The 21,798-nt window shown below is 33.7% G+C and overlaps 1 long non-coding RNA gene across 4 annotated transcripts in view; it reads right to left on the bottom strand.

Moving 5' to 3' along the window:
- Window positions 1-19,931, bottom strand: part of LINC01673 (long intergenic non-protein coding RNA 1673) — a 36,413-nt gene extending 16,482 nt beyond the window's left edge. For 2 of the 4 annotated variants that reach the window (NR_183538.1, NR_183539.1), the window contains exons 1-2: window positions 19,626-19,931; window positions 9,784-9,884 (exon numbers count right to left, since the gene is read on the bottom strand). This is a non-coding gene — a long non-coding RNA (long intergenic non-protein coding RNA 1673). Of the gene's footprint in view, window positions 1-4,549; window positions 5,194-5,326; window positions 5,431-9,783; window positions 9,885-19,625 lie in introns of those variants that run through there. The other 2 variants (NR_183537.1, NR_183536.1) reach the window with 2 other exon arrangements.
- Between the last annotated feature and the right edge of the window lie 1,867 nt (window positions 19,932-21,798).

Here is a 21,798-nt window from a genome sequence, read left to right as displayed (position 1 = left end):
TTTAGTACAAAAATAAAATTTAACAAAAAAAATTTTTTTTTTAAATGGAGAGCTGAGTAGGGATTTTCTGATATCAGTTGAGTTATTAGAAAGAGCTATAACTGAAATTGACTCTCTGATCCTCTAAGTTAATGAAATCAATCAACTGCTTCCCCAACAAACACAAACAAAACTTTTTGGTGATGGGGTATTAATTTAGTCAAGATGAATCTTAATTATTTGCTGTAGAAGAAGCCTGACTTATATATTATTATAATAATGATTATCATAATTTATCTTTATTTTGTACTAATGGGAAAATGTTCTTTATTGCATTGTAGACCAGAAATCAAAGAAGGAAAGTAGGGAATCCTTAAAAGTTGAGTGAAATAAAGAAAATAAAAGTAAAACTCAATGATGTAAAGAAAAATAAAATTTTGTAGAAAATAATTAGAAACTTCTATTGTACAACATGGTGACTGTAGTTCATAATAATGTATTATATTCTTGAAAATTGCTGAAAGAATAGATTTTAAATATTTTCACCACAAAAATGTGTGTGAGGTAATTCATTTATTAATTAGCTAAATTTAGCCATTTCACTATATATATATATTTCAAAACAACATGTTGTACATAATAAATGTATGTTTTATTAGTCAATTTAATATTTTTTTAAAAAGAAAAGAAAAGAAGAAGAATTGGGAACTAGATTGACAGAATAGCCTTTCCTGTCTACAATGATTTTGTCTTTTCATCTTTATGGCTCTCATTTTTGTTTTTGAGCTATGATTGTGTTATTGTACGTATGGTTATACTGTGTTATTTTTGCTGTCTTAACTGAAATCGTGGACAAGTTCACTTTAGAATCCCACTCCTTCTAAATACTGTATTTCAAATATATTTTGAACCTCTCAGAATTCTGCATAATCAGATACTGCATACATATCTGAGATATCCTTCTGTGATCAATGTGCAGCAGCTTTAACCTATGACAATTCTACGAAGGCTACACAGAAGTGTTGTGGCTTACTTCTAGGTTGAGGAAAATGAGATCACTTATCAGGTAAAATGCTGTTTGTACGCACTGTTCTGTATAGACACAAGGATGTGTATGTATGTTTTCATGCATTATTCCAGAACATTACCAGTTTATCTAACGTAAGACCAAAAATGTTTTTACACAATCAAATCACAATATTATTTTTATTATTAAGGTATTTTGATAGTTAAAATCCTTCAATTTAACAATAAGTATATATCAACCTAATCTTAACGTCACTGTTTTCTAAGAAACACATGAAATATTGCTATACTTTATCTGTTGCTAATGTCTAATATGTATGTGAGGTTTCATTATGTGAACATCACTTAAGTACTTACATAAACACTTTTCTACCTTTTCTAGTTACAATTCTGTACCTTTCCATAATACTATGATAGCAGTAAAATTAGTTCAGTAGTCCCATGATGGCATTAAAAATATCTATGGAACACTCCCCTAAGTTCCTTTTTAATTAAGATTCTTTACAAATTAGATAATTGAGCATACACTCATAACATGGCCACTTTCCAAGAGTTAACAATACTTATGTTAGTGAACTATGTTACCTAGTAACAAAAGTACCATAGCATTTCCATAATATTTTACTAATACATTCAAGTTGCCCTAAGTTATGATAGCCAAATATATGGCAAAAATATCCATGAATATTACATAACCACCTTTGTAAAAATGCATTTTGTTTTTTCTCTCAAAGTTCCTTTTGTAAATATTTCTGGTTTTCTGCTTCATCCTGGAAATTGGTTCTGTGGCACAATAGGTATGCCAAATGGGGAAAAATAAACAATAAAAAGGAATTAATTAGTTTTTCTAGAACTAAAAATCAAATTTCTAAAGTAAAGGAATTTTCCTAGATTGGAATTGATAACTGAATAAGCATGACAGAGTAAAGTAAGATAAATCAACTAAAATTATATAAGATGTAAAACAGTAAGAAAAAAATTTAAAAAGATGAACAGAGACTTAGGGGCTTGTTTGATTATCTTGATCTCAGTGCAACAAATGTGTAATTATAATAGTAGAAAAAAGAAAATTGAGAAAAAATTATTTAAGAAACTTTTATATTTTCCAAGTTTGATGATAGATATACATTTGCAGATATAATATGCTTGATGGATATCAAGTAGAAAAAAAAAAAGAAAATAAGCTCGAAGTTAGGTGCATTGCTGTCAAATATTTGAAAGCCAAAGATAAAGTATATATCCTGAAAGTGACAAGATAAAATCAACATGTTACATATAGGAGACAAGATTCCAATTAATAGCTAATTTCTTACCCGAATTTGTGAAGAGAAGATAGAAACAATGTATTACAGTGTAGAAAAGCTATATATATTTGAACTTCTCAGAATTCTGCATAATCAGATATTGCATACACAAGGATGTGTATGTATGTTTTTATGCATTACTCCAGAACATTACGAACAGAAGACAGAAACAACGTCTTACAGTGTTGAAAAGCTATATATATATATATATATATATATATATATATATATATATACATATACTTAATTTCAAATACATTTTGAACTATATATACATATAGCTTTTCAATGCTGTAAGACATTTTTATCTTCTAATATATATAATATGTATATATATACAAGCTACATATATATATGTATATATATACACACACACAAATTATCAACCCAGAATTCTATACTCAGCAAAACATCTTTCAATAATGAAGGTGAAATATAAATATTGTCAGATAAAAGAATTAAGGGTACATTATCACCAGCATATTTGCACTACAAGAAATGTTAAGGGAATTTCTGTAGGCTGAAAGAAAATGATAGCACAGAAAAGATGTATTCTCAAAATAGAGGAAAAAAAATCTGAATCGGTAACTATCTGAGTAGATGAAAAGGATGTTTTTCTGGCCAGGCGTGGTGGCTTACACCTGTAATCCCAGCACCTTGGGAGGCCGAGGCGGGCGGATCACGAGGTCAGGAATTTGAGACCAGCCTGGCCAACATGGTGAAACCCCGTCTGTACTAAAGATACAAAAAATTAGCCGGACATGGTGGCATGTGCCTGTAATCCCAGCTACTCGGGAGGCTGAGGCAGGAGAATCACTTGAACCCGGGATGTGAAGGTTGCTGTGAGCCGAGATCTTGCCATTGCACTCCAGCCTAGGAGACAGAGCAAAACTCCATCAAAAAAAAAAAAGAAGAAGAAAAGAAAAGAAAAAAGAAAAAAGAACCAAGTTAAGACAGAGAAAAAAGCAGAAAACGTAGGAAACCACCCACAACATAACCATATCAGTAGTTACATTAATTGTTAATGAATTAATCCAAGTAAAATTCGTATTTTCAGAACGAATTGAAAAACAACACCAAGTTTTCTGCTATCTAAAAATAGTATGTTTTATTTTAAAGAAAAATGTAGGTTGAAAGTAAGTGAATAGAAAAATATTTTTAATGCAAGCTTTAAGCATAAGAATATCGGAGTAGTTACATTTTAAAGAAACATTTCAAGAAATTAGTTATTACCAAAAATAAAAAGGGAAATTTCACAATGATATCAGTTTACTCATCAGGAAGGCATAGCACCATGAACATCTATGAATTCAATATATCAGAGCTTTCAGTGGCATGAAGGAAAAATGGACAGAATTAAAAGTAGAGATAGTTTGATAATTATAATTGAAGACATTAGTACCTCTTTCTCAACAATGGATAAAACAACTAAAGAAAAATCACCAACATTTTAAAGGTCTAAATGATACATTAAATATCATCAACTATTTTGATTTCATTGATGTTTATACAGTACCTCAGTCAACAAGGGCAGAGTATATATTATTCCAAGGTGCAAGTAACGGATTTACCAGGGTAGACTCTATAAAGACACATAAAGGTTCAATAAATTTTAAGACATCGAAATTATACAGAGTATTTTACTGGTACTAATAATATTTAAACATGATGGGATTGAATCAAAAATAAATAAAACAATACAATCAGAAAAGTCTCACATATTTGGACATTAAACAACACCCTTTTAATTAACACATTTATCAAAAAAGAAATCATGAGGGGAATTGAAAATGAATATTAATAGAAACATGACATAAAATTTGTGAGACACAGCTAATAAAGCATTTAGATGGAATTAATAGCTCTATAATTCTTTTGTATATATACATTATTTAAATATTAAATATTATTTTATACATCAACTTATTATATATATAATCACTCTTATAATACTATAGAAGTAGAATTGCTGAAAGCAAATAATTGAATCTTCCTGATTCACAGCTTAGGAAAACAGAAGAAATCAAACCAAAAGGCATAGGAAAGAATACTAAAAGAATACATAAATAAAAAAGAAAATGGAGATATAATTTAAGAAATTAACAAAGTAAAAAGTGAATTATATGAAAAGGTTGACAAAACTATCTCTTGCAAACTTGGATCAAGAAAAATATGATGAGAAGACACATTGCCAATATCAGGCGTGCAAGAGAAGAAATAGAAATTCTTAGTTTGTTTTGTTGCTTCAACTTTTATTTTAGATTTGGGGGTGCATGTGAAGGTTTGTTATATAGGTAAACTTGTTTCATGGAGGTTTGTTGTACAGATTATGTCAAAACCCAGGTATTAAGGCTCATATCCAATAGTTATTTTTTTCTGCTCCTCTCTCTCCTACCACCCTCCAAGTTCTAAAAGAATATCATTAACAATTTTATGCTGATGAATGTGGCAACTTAGATGAAATGAAAAATTCATTCAGCAACTATTGCTGCTGAAGTTAGCTTCATCCAGGTGTACCATCATCACCAACACCTTGTCTCAGCTTGCTTCCTGCCTCAGGGCTTTTTGGATGCTTTCGTTCCCATACTTCTGCAAACTTGAAAGTGCAAGTGTCTTAATATCCCGTAGGACAACTCTTGACCAATGCAAGATGAAGAGAAGGTTCAATAGATAAATATTCTCTTTTCTGTGATTTTCAGGTTCACAATTCTGCAGTCAAATTCTCAGATACTTCAAAGGAGCTCAGTGGAATCAAGTCCCAATTATTCACAGCTCGTAACATACTCTCCTCCTGGCTTCTCTTCCTTCTCTCACTCTTCCCAGTCCTCTATTCCATTTCCTGGCATCATATACAATCCATAAGCAAATTCTCAGGCTCAGGTTTCTGGAAAAAAAATATAACATCAGCAGGACAAGAAAACTTGAGAAATATCTGGAAAACAGCAGCTGGGGTTGGAAATGACAGAAAATGAACAGAGAAATCATTTGCCCATGATGTCCAAGTAACTGGCTCATACCAAGAAAAGTGCAACTCTCCAAATCACTTTCCATGTTCATCACAACTCAGGTATAGTTCTAATCTTCATCATCTCCACTCAAGAACACAGATAGAGTACTCTCTCTGGAACAATGGCAGGTGTCAATTCACAGGAATAAGGCGAGCTTGTCATTTCCATTCACACTTTATTGTATAAAGCTAGCTTGCCATTTGAGTTCAACTGCATGAACACTATAATGCTCTAGCAGGAAAGGATTACACATATTTATGAAAAACGATAAAGACAGTCATTTTAATAAAACCCAAGGAAAAAAAATAGTGAAACAGTAGCAATATTTAACTAGACGTTTGGGCACAAGGTTACTTGTAAATATAATACATTCTGGAAGCATATGAGAAATTTTAATGAACTTTAAATAAAGATGCCTGAACTTCAAAAGTAAAGCATCTTTCCCTTATATTACTATTTTACTGTGTTGGAAGTAAATTATAATCAAGTTATTTGTACCAGAAAAATAGATTTGGTACTGTAATTTTTTCTTATTTTTTTAATAGTCCAGATTTTTATCACATGGTTGTTCTTATCCATATTTTACTTTCCTAAACTCATAATCTTCAGAGAGTAAATGTTATCATAGAAGATATATTTTTATATAAATTAATCTAAACTTTTAAACAAATATATTACAATATTTGCAAACTCCATAAATATTAGTTGAAATGCTGAAAAAACTTGGGATTTAAAATTGTTACTTATTTCACTGATGTTGCTCGTGGCCTATAACATTGTTTTTTGTATAAATTTATGAGGTACAAGTATAATTTTAATTTATGGATTATTGCATAGTGGTAAAATCAGGGCTTTAATGCATCCATTACCTGAATAACATACATTGTACCCCTTAGGTAATTTCTTATCATTCACTCTCCTCTCACTCCACCCTTCCTAGTCTCCATTTAACACCTATGTAGGATTTATACATTCTTATAAATTAACTGGGTTTCTGAGTAGGTCTGATATGAGTTCACTTTTATAAAGGAATATCTTTGATGTTTCAGTAACAATTTTCATCCCCAAATTTATCGTATTCAATTGGAAACTCCACATCAAATAATGCAAGAAGTTCATTAGCCCAGGTCGACCTGAAAATGTCAACATACCCTCATTGTATGAGATTAATTTTGTGCTATATATCCGGCAGTGATTTTGGTCAAACTATTATGGAATTATAGATGTCATTAGACTGTTTGAAGACATGCAATTTCATGTTCTCAGCTTACTCCTTAAAGTAGTAACTGTGCAGAAGTCAAATTGAGGCAGCTTCAAACACTTACATAAAATGATCTGCTGTATTCAATTAGTTTCTTCTCATTTTAATAGTCTTATATTTCAACTAGGAAAACTGAGAATCTGTGTAAAAATAGTCTAAGGTTTGTGGCTGCCATAAGATAATGTGAACTGAGGCAAGCAACACATTTTCATTGAATCGTTCCCAGAGGCTTAAGGGAACATAATACATGTTAAAGATAGGTAGAAGTGAGTGCTATAGCACAGACTCAGAGCTTCTTTTGAGCCAGCTTAGGAGGATAATACATGTCACTGCAAACCATTCATTTGAGCATTGCACTTAATTACACTCCTCAGGGTAAAAGTGGGCATAGTCTCATAATGCTTACTATAGCATAGTATTCCAAGCACACATTTTTATGTAATGGATTCAAAATGCCTTGCAGATACTGCATAACTATTACTGTCTTTCTTACAATGGTGGGCCGGTCTGAATTTAATGATAGCTACTGTTGGACTCGCCTGTGCTGAGCTAATAATTTAAGTTGAGCTTGTTGAATCTTATTTTTTTGTTTTATAACCAAAGTCTATTTTTAATTTGCATATATGTGTGCCATCTGCTTTCACAAAAAAAAGGAGGTATCTCAGGAAAGGTTCTAAGGCCAAGCTGCAGTGTTGAAAGGTTTATAAATCTATTTTGATTCACATAAGCATTAACTCTTTACACAAAATCTGGCATCAGTAACAATGATTTATTATTTTTTTATTTCCAACACGAAGGAATGGAAAAGTTAGAAATCATATTTTATTTTTCTTGCTTGCAGTGCAGTCCTACTTGTCATCATATTTTTCTAAGTTTAAGCCCTTGTTCAGAGGGAATGTGGCTGGTTAATGTAGGTATTTTAACTGAAGATGGTACCTGTTGTAGGAGGGACCCAGTAGGAGGTAATTGAATCATGGGGAGGTTTTTCCCATGCTGTTCTTGTGATAGTGATTAAGTCTCATGAGATCTGATGATTTTATAAAGGGAAATTCCCTTGCACATGCTCTCTTTGCTGCCATGTAAGATGTGCCTTTGCTCCTCCTTCATTTTCCGCCATGATTGAGGCCACCTCAGCCATGTGAAACTGTGAGTCCATTAAACCTCTTTTTCTTTATAAATTTCCCATTCTCAATTATATCTTTATTAGCAGCATGAGAACAGTCCCTAACTAGGTACACTCCCTAACTAGGTACTTCATGGAACACCAGTGTCTGAGTGATTTCCAGGGACAAAGAATAAAAGAAAAGCTACCCCCGGTTAGTCAGGAAAGTATGCTATTGGCATTTTGCACTTCATAGTAGGTAGAAATAAAATCTGTGTAAATACTCTACTTAAAATGATTTATGTGCCTTTCAACTCTAAAATCAAACTGTAAGTTATAGTAAAAACTATAAAATGTGCAGATTACATGTAATGATAGTGCTATAAAGTTTAAGAATTAGCAGAGGACATAATACGAAAAAGAGAAGATGAGCATAACGCACTATTATTTTTCTATTGGTTCTTCTAGATTAGGATTCTCACCATCTCTTTGGTGAGTAGTGAGTGGACTATATTATATTATCTTTGTTGTACTGTTTCCATATTAGATGTACATAAGAATTGTATATTGGAATATGTTTAGTTTTATCATATAGAGAAGAGTATTTATATACATTTCTTATGTTTATTATATCCCCATTTCACACCCCTTATATACACTTATACATGAACTATGTGACTCAACCAATACTTGCAACTAAGAACATACATGTTCAAATCAGAAAAACTTCAGGTAAGTAACGTGCCTTTTAGAGAATATTTACATTTAAAGAATCTTATTTCCCACTGGATAGACTACATTTTACAGCTGCTGTATGTGCATAATTACACATACACTGTATGTGCAGTGTGTTCCTGTTTCCTTAGATCTGCTATGTTTATTCCCTACTCATCCAACTCGTGAAACATCATCCAACTCATCAGCTCATCCGAGTCATGAAACATTGTCCCCACTCATGTGCAAAAAACCTCCCCTGTCTTTCCAAGTTTGTCCAGTGGGTTTGTTTTCTCCTGACCAGTATCCATATCAGGTTCATGTATTTTGAACTTATTCTTCCCTTTCTAAATAATATATTGAAATACTTTTCTCCCTGAAGTGCCTTGAACACATTGGTGATGAATGAGGGAAAGTTTTACTGAAAATCTGGGTGACAAAGGTAGGTTATGTAAAAGCACGGTTGATATGGTTTGGATTTATGTCCCTGCCCAAATTCTTCCTCCATGTGGAATTGGAGGAGGGGTCTGGTGGGAGGTGCTGATTATGGTGATTATTCCCTCTTGCTGTTCTCATGATAGTGAGTGAGTCACATATCGTTCCTTCCTGAATGGACTCCTGTGACTTGTAGAATGTTATGTGTTGAATCAGTCACTGGCATGAGGCATGACGTTACTTTAAGATAAATCACAGCATACAAATAAAGCTGGCAGGAGCTAGATTTCCCTAAAGTGCATGAATTTTCCAGACATATAATTACAGTTGATTTCTAAACTCCATCTTATACGTCAGTTTTTGATCTAGCTTGCCTTCCAAGACATGCTTATTGTTGTATGTGGAATAGCATATTGCTATGTTTTATAACTCTGCTCCTCTGGTAAATATAAATGTAATTTTTTTCCAAGAAATATAAGGACCCAATAAAAGTAGTGTGTGCACACTTGTGCTCACATGTGACTGTTTACACAACTAACATGCTAATCAACTTCAATTGTGGTATCTCATTTGTTTTTTATTTAATTTCATTTGAGGTAGGTACTATTATTCACTGATGTACACAGATATCAAGCTTACTATATAGACAGAGATATAAATATTGACATGGATGTGACTACCTGTAACTGTCTAGATTAAATCCTTTTCTTGTAATAATTTCTTTTTCAAAGCAACCTGAGTTGCGGAAAGTAACTTGTTTCTAATTTATTATACTTCTCTTGCTCTGGCAAAACTTTCTGGATACTGCTGAATTTAGAAGATCTGTTGAATCTAAAATATTTCTTTAGAACCTTAAGATGTTATTTGGCCTGATTTTATTTCATGTTAGTTCCATCACTATCTAAACAGCCTGTGTGTGATGAGAGTTTGGTTACTGGGGCCCCCATGACTCACTGTGTCTAGCTGTTGGCAACGGCATTATGGAAACTTCTGAGTCTGAATCTGGTGACATCCCATATGTTGTTGACCAGGTTTCCTGTGGTCTAGACAGTGGCCTGAGAGAGGATAATTTTTGTTAATATCTATTCCCTGAGCCATAATATGTAAATATTGCTTATTTAGGTATTTTCAAAATTATCTCAAAACTCTTCAATGTTTTTGTGTACAAGCTATCATCTTAAGTTACAACAGTGAATATTTAGTGTGTGTGCTTATTGTCTAGTCAGGCATGTTCTGGAAAGAATTTCATGAACTACAATACTTGTCACTTTATAATCTTTAGTTTTAATGTTCATATAATTATGTTTGAAAAATTTATAATATGGTAAAATCTGCTAATATTCACTGTGGGGAACTTTATTTGAAATACTGTGCTGTTTAATGATAACTACCTGTCTATCGTCTATCTAATCAAATTGTTTTACTACCAGAAAACCTAAGACACAAAACGAAATATTGTTTTAAAACCATCATATGAGACCTGAATTATTTACTTATAGAATATAACTTGTTTTAAATTTCTCTTTAATAAATAATTTACTGTAATTTCATTTAAGCAATTCCTTTTCAGAAACATCTTAGTTGCCTAAACCAGAGTACATTCCAATGCCATTAATGTTTCCGGGGGGAAAACAAACTAATAAAAAACAAATCAGTTTCTGTTCTCTGGTATTATAAAGTTTACATAGATAGATAGATAGATAGATAGATAGATAGATAGATAGATAGATAGATAACATATAAGTAGATATATTCAAGTTATTTATGTACTGATTTTTTAAACTTGATTACTACTAGGTCCTATGAACCATATAATATGTCTCTTTTTAAAATTGGTAAATTATTATATTCCCCTTAATTATCTCTACTCTTGAATGACTGTTAGAAGTTTCTGATTTCCCTGCACTTCTGAGGAAATGCAGTGGAAATTCCTGTACACTGTCAGGGAATCCCCTCTCTTACCTCCTTTTGCCAGGGCAATACCCGGAAGAAAATTCTACTTAATTTTTAGGAGCACACTGTTTTCTCCAGGAATTTCTGTCCATTCTTTGGAGACCGTGTTATTAGAATCATCAAGGGAGCAGGTGAGTACACCAGTGAAATATACACCAAGCCAAATCAGATAGTTGTACTCAAGTCAGATGTTGTAAGTACAGCAATGGAGTAATGTAAAATGTTGGAAATGGGCCAGAGTTTAAACATACTGGTATTATCAAATGGAGTCTGATATTGTAACTTTAAATATTAGAATAAAAATTTATTGACTTCAAGATAGTAGAACTGGAACAGATGGGATTTGTTTAATTCAAACACCGGACTTGAGTCAATAGAGGATTCTCACAGACTCCAGGCCATGAAGTTTTGTCTTCCTTGTATTTTAATTTCTGTATAGTTCAAGTACTTATACAATCTGACTAGAAAAAAATCTTGATTGACTTAATCCACATAATCACCCTATTTCTATTGTTATTATTTCTGGAACTAAAGAACAATAAAAAGCATTTCTTTATTTCCTGCTCAGAATTGCAATATTTTGCCATTGTGTCATTGATTTCCAGATTAGAATGTTTTCTACCAAAGGCTTTGTGTCGTAGCATATACCTACTAATATTTTTATCCTTCCATGATCACTGCATAGTATTATTTTCTTTACCTTGGGATACATTGTGATTATTATAATATTTAAGATCAAAGGAATTGGCTCTTAGTTTGTGAAGTAAAGTATCTGAGATTGGTAGTTTTATTTTTTTCCTATTTTTGTGAAACAACCTGGCATCTGCAATTGCCAATATCCTGTGGCAATTAGTCATTGCCCCTTTTATTTCCCAGAAGACACAATTCAAGCTTCAGCAAGTTTTCCCTTCCACACATGTCTTATATTGTTAAGCTATTGGCAATATTTTTAAAACTGTTTGATCATCTAGCTTTTGTCTTCATCTTTTTGTTTCTGGGAAATTGAATACAGTTTTAAAATATCTTCCTTTGCCACTTTGAAATAATGACATCTTATTGATAATGTGCCAATGCTGATGATGAGTAGATATCTGTAAGTATGAAATACTTAAAATTACATTTCAAAATTGGTCATATTAAAATATAATCATTGGAATTTGCATATGGCAGAAATAACTGAATAACTTTACATTAAATGCAATTATTCTGATAGGTCTTTTCTTTTACATTGTCCTTGATTCTCTCACCATTGTACGCTGGGTGTGAGGAGAGGAAGATACTTCATTTTTTTTGTGCATCAAGAGCAATTATACCTGGGAAGTATTATGGACACCTGGACTTGATTGAGATTGAGATTTTGAACCTTGAGTCTGAACCTGATGATACTGGAATGAAATGAGACTTTAGGAGGGAGGGTTTCGGAAAGAAGTGAATTTGCATGTGGAGGAAATGCAAATCATTTGTGAACAGAAGGCCGACTCTAGTGATTTTAAAACATGGCCACAAATTCTTTGATAATCTTCCAGCAAGACATAGGGATGTATCCTTCTCCTTTGAATTGACTGTCATAACCAATAAAATATAGCAGAAGATACTATTTGACTTCCTAAGCTATGTCATAAAATGCCATGAAACTTCTGCTGTATTCATTGAAACATTTCATTCAGAAGCCTGTCTTAGTCCATTCAGGCTTCTATAACAAAATAACATAAACTGGGCAGCTTATAAACAACAGAAATGTATTCCTCATGTTTATAGAGGCTGGAAAGTCCAAAATCAAGATGCCAACAGATTTTGTCTGTTGAGGGCCTGTTTCTTTTTTCATAGATGGTGCCCTGTTGCTATATCCTTACATGGGGGAAGGGGAAAAGAGGCACAAATCCCATTTATGAGGGCTCCTCTTTCATGACCTCATCAGTTTCCCAAAGGCCCACATCCTAACCATCACCTTGAAGGTGAGAATTTCAGCATATGAATTATGAGGGGGTACAAACATTCTGATCACAGTAGAGCCTTAAGCTTCCATATAGAAAGACCAACTATTGTAATGTGACATGCTTCAGTGAGGTTCACATCACATGGAATTGTGACAGGAGCCAGGGTAGATCCTCAGTTGACAGCCCCACCTGAGCCTGGTCTTTGAATCCTCCCAATCTGGTTTTGTCAGACATGTATATGAAAAAGTATCCAGATGATTCTAGGTTGCAGTTACTCCTAGCAATTGAAATCTTGCCTGTTAAGTCACCAGATACCATGAATCAGAAACAAGCCATTCCTGCTGGCACACTGAATTCTTGACCTACAGAATCTGGGTACACAATAAAGTAGTCATTCTTTACAGCACTAAGTTTGCTTTTATTTGTCATGCAATAGTTGGCAACTGGGACATGTACTCAGCATAAATCAACATAATGAATTTCAGCACCTATTTACCTATTTCAGCTTTAAAACTATGATTTGAAATTTCAGGCATAAAATTAATTGAAGAATTAAAAAAAAATCCTGCACATAAATTTACAACATAGTGTATATTTCTACATAAACACAGACATTAAATATTTACTTAATTATAAAAGGATAGCTGTGTGTTTTGTTTCAATAACAAGTACTTAATGTTAATCAATGGTTTTATTTGAGTTTCTCAGGGCTTATTTACTTTGAACACCTAATATGGTTTGGCTCTGTGTCCCCATCCAAATCTCACATTGAATGGTAATAATCTCCACATGTCAAGGGTGGGGCCAGGTGGAGATAATTGAATCATGGGGGAGTCTCCCCCATACTGTTCTCCTGATAGTGAATAAGTCTCACAAGATCTGATGGTTTTATACATGGGAGTTCACCTGCGCAAGCTCTCTTGCCTGCGGCTGTGTAAGACATGACTTTGCTCTTCATTCGCTTTCCACCATGATTGTGAGGTCTCCCCAGCCATGTGGAACTATGAGTCAATTAAACCTCTTTCCTTTATAAATTACCCAGTCTTGGGTATGTTTTTAATAGCAGGGTGAGAACAGACTAAAACAGGATGCAAACAATAGAAGTAATTTGTAAGGTACTTAGTATTCAATTGCTTATTTATAAAGAGAGAACATGAGCTGAATGAACATGTTGTCCTCTACTCTCCCTGTTTTTTTTTTCTGACTTCCAACCCATATCTCTAACATAAAGGATAATTACCTAGCATGCTCAATGTAAGTATTCTGAAGTCTTCAATCCCAGAATCTGAACTAAAAACTAAATAATACAAATTTTTTTGTAAAAGGTAAGTGTCAAAGAACCTCATGATTCAAATATACACGCACACACACACACACTAGCTTTCAAATAATTTTTACATAGTTACACGCATATTTGCTTTACCTCTAACTTTAGACTTGAAGATTGTCAAATTTGGAAGAGTTTTCCAAATTATTGAAGACAATCCCATATGAAATTAAATATCAATAAACTTTGAATGATATTAACTAGTGATATAAAGTAATGTTATCTGAATATTTAAATAAACATAATAATTTAAATTTACTCAGACATAACTTTTCCTTATTAGTATGACATGGATGTTTTCATTGAGGAAATCTCAAAGCCATATCACTCTTAGGGGACAAATACATGAAGCAGACAGATTAATTTTTACCTTTCTTTTGCTTTTGGTAAACAATCCGTGGCATCTCTTTCAACATGACCTTCAGATTTGACTTTTTGATTATGTGGTTGTATTAGTTCATTCTCACACCAGAGACTAGGTAATTTATAAAGGAGGGAAGTTTAATTGACTCACAGCTCCACATAGCTGGGGAGGCTGCAGGAAACTCGCAATTATGGCAGAAGGCAAAGGGAAGCAAGGACCTCCTTCATATGGCAGCAGGAGATAGAATTGTAAGAGGGGAATGCAAGAAACTGATAAAACCATCAGATCTCCTGAGACCTCACACACTATCATGAGAGCAGCATGGGGGAAACTGCCCCGGTGATTTAATCAACACCCTCCCTCCACACATGGGGATTACATGTCCCTCCCTCAACGCATGGTGATTACAATTCAAGATGAGATTTGGGTAGGGACACAGAGCCAAACCATCACTGGTCAATATGCATCTTCCAATATAAGAATTGCTATAGGGCTCATGAAAAACATATAACTGTTTTTAGTTAGTGGAGTATGAGTATATTCAAATCCTCCATTTGGAAATTTGCAAATTTCCTGCACATGGAAAAAATGTTATTTATGCAAAGAGTAGGAAAGAATTGATATTGCACAATGTTGCTGAGCTTTCTTCAGAATCTGAGTGTTGGCATAAGTAAAAAGTCAAATTATTTTGTAATAATCAGTTGTAATAACTCTATTTTAAATATTATAAATTAATTTCCCTTTACCAAAGCCAAATCCATCTTCACAAATATCTGTCTATATCACACAATCAACAAATCTCATTGCCCGAAGTACATTTCACTTACATGTTTGTTGAAACATTGTGTTTCAAAAACCACTAATGTTTTTCTTCACTTTTTACCATTGAAGATAGTCCTACATTTTTCACTGAAAAAAAAAATACTAAGGAATGTGCTCAACTTCACTCCAAATAAATTGGATAAACACATACATACCTGCCTACCTCCATAAATATATAACGTATTTTCTCCAAAATATACTTTATGTTAGGGCAACATAGGTATAAAGAAACATCACATATTTAAATGACAAATAGAAATAGCATAAAATGAAAATAAACCTTAAAGTAAGCATCTTACGCTTTTAAATACAAATTTTCAAAATGTTCATGTTTTTGTAATAAAAACAATATGTTATAGGGAAATAGAATAGGCCAGAAAAAAAAAAAAAGTGAAACCTAGTTTTGTTACATGTTTAACTGTAGAAACTTAGAGTAGTTTCCCAATATCTGAATGTCCCTTTCACTACAAAATCTTCTCTCAGGGTTGTTGTGTGAATTTATGAAGGACAAGGACATAGCAGAGGGCCACATACAGGTAGCTTCTAAATGAATGTCAGCTTTTTTCTGTTTTTCTTCTTCCTTAGAGCAGGACCAAAGTATTGATCATCCTTAGATATGCTAGTGTCTTGAAAACAGTGACATAAAATACATGGCTGTACTTTATACTGATTTATTATCCAACTTCTATGAATTTTTATTAAAATTTTAGTAAGATATTTTAAGTAATTTTCATTTATGTTATAAAACAAACAAGCTTATCAGTTTATAGTATAGGGAATACTTCAGATTTTAGTGCTGAGTTGAATTTATTCTATGAATTAAACTAAATTGATATGAAGATTGTTGTAATTTAGAGTAGTAAATACATGTGAAAAAAGTAAATACATGTGAAAAAGTCAATAAATAAAGCAGAGGCATATCTAATTAATTTTAAAAGCCTCCTTCCTTTACCTTCACCCTTAGTCACACATATTAAAAAAATACCAAACTATGCAGACTAACACTATGATTAATCAAGTTCTACATTTGAAAGGAAGCCTGTTAAGTTTCAGTATAAATTATTCTGCTATTTGCTATCCTAACATTGATATAATTATACCTTCCTTTTTAAATTTACCAATTTTATGCAATATTTATTAAGTCCTTTTTATATAAGATGAGGAATTTAGTGTACTTATAATTTCAGGACTCTTTCTTCAACTTCTGAAGTTTTGGTAGTTATACAATTTTTGTTTTTATTCATTAATTAATTAATTCATTCATTAGAAAATATTTAGTGAGGCCAGGCATGATGGCTCATGCCTGTAATCCCATCCCAGCACTTTGGGAGGCCGAGGTGGACCGATCACCTGAGGTCAGGAGTTTGAGACCAGTCTGACCAACATGGAGAAACCGCATCTCTACTAAAAGTACAAAATTAGCTGAGGCATGGTGGCACATGCTTGTAATCCCAGCTACTCGGGAGGCTGACACAGGAGAATCAGCTACTCGGGAGGCTGACATCTAAGCCGAGGTGGCGCCATTGCACTCCAGCCTGGGCAACAAGAGCAAAACTCCATCTCAAAAAAAAAAAAGAAAAAAATTTAGTGAGCACACTAGGTGCCAGTCACTAATCTAGCTTCTAGGACTATAACAGGGAACAGCACAGACTTGGTGCCTACTGACTCGGAGCTTGAATTTCAAGGGAAAAGACAGATAATAAAAATAAACAAATGAATGAAACCACTACACAGTGATATAGCAGCCACATCTTCTAGCCTTTATAGAGAATGTTGATGGTGCCATTTTGAGTGATAGTTGAGCAAAATCTCTCTTGAGTTAGTATTTAAACTGAGTCCTGAAGTTTGAGAAGGAAACAGCTAGGCAAAGACCAAGATCACAGAGCATTCCTGGTAAAGAGAAATCCAACTACATGGCAACATCTCAAAGGTGACAAAAATGTGATAATGTGAGGAAGACATTAGAAGATGAGGTTCAAATTGTTTTGTAACAATTTTGTCTTTGTCCCTCTACACTGGGCCCTGTGTCTCTATATGTGTCCTCGTATGTGTGTGTGCATGCATGTGCCCTTTAAAATCCATGCTTATATTATTTTCACCTTGTCCACCCCAGTAATGTTTTCTTTTTTTTAAATATCTTTTGCAAAAACCACTTATTTGTCTCTCATTGATCAGAACTGATTCATGTGATTGACTAAATCTGGAACATAGGTTGATGCTTGGAGCAGAAAAGAAATCAACCTAATTTGAACAACATGGGAAGATTGGAAAACTACTGATTCTCTGAAGGGTGATTGATGAATTGTTACTACAAAATGGGTGAATGAACCCTGACCAATGAGTAGTCACTACAGAAGCCCTGAAACATCAAAGTAGGCATGTCAGTAGGCAATCAGACTTCAAATCTAGCTATGAGTTGGAAACTTGAAAAATGGAAGTCTTCAAGAGATAGATGATACTTAAGCAATACAGAAAGTTTAAATCAAGTTGGAGAGATGATAGAGAATAATAAACAGCACATTACCTAGCACTGTGGAACTCTAATATAAAGCTTGGGTATATGGGAAGAGGTCAGTAAAGCAGTTGACAAAAGAATATCTCACTCATCTGTATAGCCGGTGATCAGGACGGGGAGTTACATTAGGCTAAATTCTTCTATAGACTTTATGGAAGCCTTTATAGAACCTTCTATAGGTTCTGCCTTTAAATGTCCCTAGGATCATTCCCTGTTCTTTGTGAATGTTGACTTAGAGTTTAGTTTCTCTAAAGTAGAGATGGGAAGGATGACTCTCTCCAATACAATGATCTTGCATTTGTTTTGGGTTATACTGTTCCTACTCTGTTGCTCCTTTAATCCAATATCAGTGTTATGCTCTGGAAAGTCCTCAAAATTAGTGCAATGAATTAATAGCACTCTTTCTTGCTTTCCAGAACTATGTTTTGGATTTACACACCTTAAAATGAGTTTTTCTTCATTTCCACAGGATATTGGGAGGGAAGGAGGTAAATTCCTATCCTCAACCTGCCACCTTCCACTAGTAGTCGAAACGTTACTTCTATAAAATAATTTCCTGAAACTTCTGTATGGTTAAAAAAAATCCTGCTGTGTAAACCAAGTAATAATTTCCCCCTGGAAATTGAAATTAAGGATAAACAATTGAGTGAAATTAACACTTAACTAATGTGTTTTCTTTCTAATTTATTAAATATTTTAGAGCTTTGGAAGCAAAAGCAGCAGCTCTTTTATAACTTTCCAGAACACCTTTATTATAATCAACCTATTTCACGTAACACTCTGGTGTTCTTAGTTTTACTTGTAATTAGACTTTTGCCTCTCTAATTGCACCAAAATAGTAATAAATGTTTTTAAAAAGATTTTGTCTCTTTGAAAAGAGAATGAATGTATCCATTAGCTTATTGGCATCCATCATCTTATAGAGGTCAGTTCGCTTAAATATTTTGGATGGAATACATCTTCCTAACTCAGTTTTCTCTTAAAATGTTAGGAAAAAAGCCCTCAAGACAACTACCACAGAAGTCAGGATACTTGCTTCAAATGATGCTATAGCATTGTTGTTAGTCCTAGTATTATAAAATAAATGAAAGGTATCATAGAAACAAGTACATAATAGACACCCAGTCCATATTTGCTTACTCTTTTAAATAAAAGCAATATCACAAATAAGTTAATTGATCTCTAGCTAGAATGTTGTCCTTATTAGATAGTTTCACATTCAAACTGAAAAAACATTTCAGAATTTGATATGAAACCCATGCACATGGTTTACATTCATTTAAAGCCATATATTTTGCTCAATTGTTTTTTCATTTCTTTTCTGGCACTGCCTAAAACCAGATGATATTACACTAAAAAAGTGAATTGGTTACTAAGCCTTTCCAGCTGTGAAAAAGGAAATAAAATCCCATACTTCTTAGGCACTATGTATAAGAAAAACATTTTTCATGGCAAGTAAATATATGCTCTGGCTCTTTACCTCCAGGTGAGTGGTCTTATTTTAAATTTTTAAAATGATTGTGACACTAATGAGATTTCAGCTAGGCATATGGGGATATTTGATTTTGTGGCTAATTCTGTCTTTTCCTTATTCTTTAAGTAAAACTGGATTTTTTTTTCCTGTGTGATAAGAGTTGGTGGTTTCTAGTATGAAGCTGGCACAATAGCCCTAAATTATAAATAGAAATACATCAATTCTCATTGAATTTCTTTTTTCAATAATATAATGACATTGGCATGTTATGTCACTTTTCTAAATCTAGTTTCCTTATCTATACATGTGATTAATAACCAAATGATATCAAACCCATTTTGTGTGTGTGTGTGTGCGTATGTGTGTGTTAAAGAATTTAACTCATTGATAGAGAGCAGACTCACTGCAAATGTTGTTGCTGTTCTTATTCTTGTTCTTCTTATTTTTATTGTTCTATAAAACAGATGTACAAAATGTCAGCCTTCATAGGATCTCTTCCTGGTTTTAACTTTGTCAGAATTCCATATATTGGTGTTCAGATGTTCTAGTTGGAAACGTATAGCCATAAACTTTTAGTGGACAAATAAGTAGACTTTGATAAAGCTGCAGCATCCTGTTGTTTTGTAATAAGCCAAAAGAAATGGTAGCCTACAAGAATGAGAAATTCATCTGTCTCCTGTGTTGTACATTTGGTTGCTGGGATACCATGTCTTCTTTGGAACTATACTCTGTTTGGAAGACACGTCCTTCAAGATCCTCCTAGAAAAAGAGTACATAAAATGAATTTTGGGATCTAGCTATATCTGAGGGTAATTTTATGTTGCTTTCACCCTTGATTAATAGTATGGATGATATATTAGCACCCTACTGCTATTGTAAAATATTACCACAAAGTTGATGATTTAAAACAATACAAATTTCTTTGTATTGGCCTGGAGACTTTTGCTTTGAGAAAGCCTCCTCTTCAAGTATTTTCCAGAAGGATACCTGTGTCTGGATCTCCTACTGTGACTTTTAGCCAGACTGGTAAACCCGACAGCATTACTTAACCTTCTACTTACATGGCGGTTCCTTACATTGCAGAATGGGACATAGAGCCCCCGAACGACACTCACCAGTTTAATACACTGCCGTGTGGTCCAGTGTCCACCCTGTTTACATCTATCCTATGAAGGAAAGACACCAATGGGGCCCCAATCTAAGAACTCTGATAAACCCCTCTATTGAATTGTTTCAAGTTTCTGAAAACTCCATAAAACACATCTTTCATATTGCATTACAATTTCTGGTTTCTGTTTATTTTTCCTCTATTCCTTCTACCCTAAGGTAGGAGAATGGGAGAGGGACAAGGTGGCTGTGGTAGTACGGGTGGAGTTAGGAAGGGGAAGCCACAACTTAACGTCTTAAAATAATACAAATGCATTATCATGCAGTTCTGGAGGTTAGAAGTCTAAAATTGATCAATAGAACTGCATTCCTTTTAAAGGTTTTACAGAAAAATTTGTTTCCTTGCCTTTTCTAGCTTCTAGATACTTTCTGCATCCTTGACTTGTAGAAGTGGCCTATCTTATATCTTCAAAGCCAACAGCAAATATCTGCTAATCACTCTCTCTCTTTCAGTTCCAATCTTCAATCACATGGTCTTTTCTGATTCTTACACCCCTGCCTCCCTTTTGTAGGACCTTCATGATTACATTGGGTCTACCCAAATAATCCAGAATAATCTCTCCATCTCCAGATCCTTAACTTAATATCCCCAGAGTCTCGTACTTTACACACAACATATTCACAGGTTCCAGAAATTAGGATATAGGTCTCATTATCATGGAAGGCCCAAATCTTGTAATCTAATTTATCTAAATTAGTCATGGTTAGGGCGTTCACTATTATCCACTCTGGGGCAAAATTATTCTCCGTTGGGAGATCTGTGAAACTATAAAACATGATATTGCCTCCTAAAATACTATGGTGAGATAGGGATCAGATAACACTAATAGATATCCAGTTCACAAAAGGAATCACCAGAGGTGAGCAATTTCAAAATCTGTTTTTGCATTCAACATTAGGTTTCAAAGCTTGAGAATCATTCTCTGTGTTTCCTGGCTCTGCTGCTATTGTAGAGACTCTACATGTTTGCAGCTGAGTAGTTTTATCAATTTGTTTTCTACATGTAGAATTTGGAGAATTCAATAGCCTTCCCTCCTTTTGTTCTGTCTCCCTTTTAGTTCAAGCTGACATTGAGTATGTCTGTTGGCACAACATTCTTAAGAATCTTGCAAATATTCCCTGTATGTTTCAGGGATTCTCTCCACTAGACAAGAGGCTCATCCACAAATCTTTTTTTTATAATACCATCTCTATTCCTGGCTTCTGCTTGGAGGGCTGAGGGGAACCATGATTCACTGCTCTAATCCTTTCAAAAGGCCATGTGTGTAATTGAATACTCTGATCCTTTGATCCTTCCAAAGTACTAGCAAAAGGTTGTCCAGCCACACCTTGGCTTTCTGTCCAGAACAGGCTTTCTTGATTATGAATCTCCTAATTTTAGTGCCTTTGCAATCTGGATTGGCTGAGAAT

Source organism: Homo sapiens, chromosome 21 (assembly GCF_000001405.40).
Source record: "Homo sapiens chromosome 21, GRCh38.p14 Primary Assembly".
Taxonomy (NCBI): domain Eukaryota; kingdom Metazoa; phylum Chordata; class Mammalia; order Primates; family Hominidae; genus Homo; species Homo sapiens.
The sequence above is the reverse complement of the archived record's forward strand: the minus strand, read 5'-3'. Positions and strand labels throughout refer to the sequence as shown.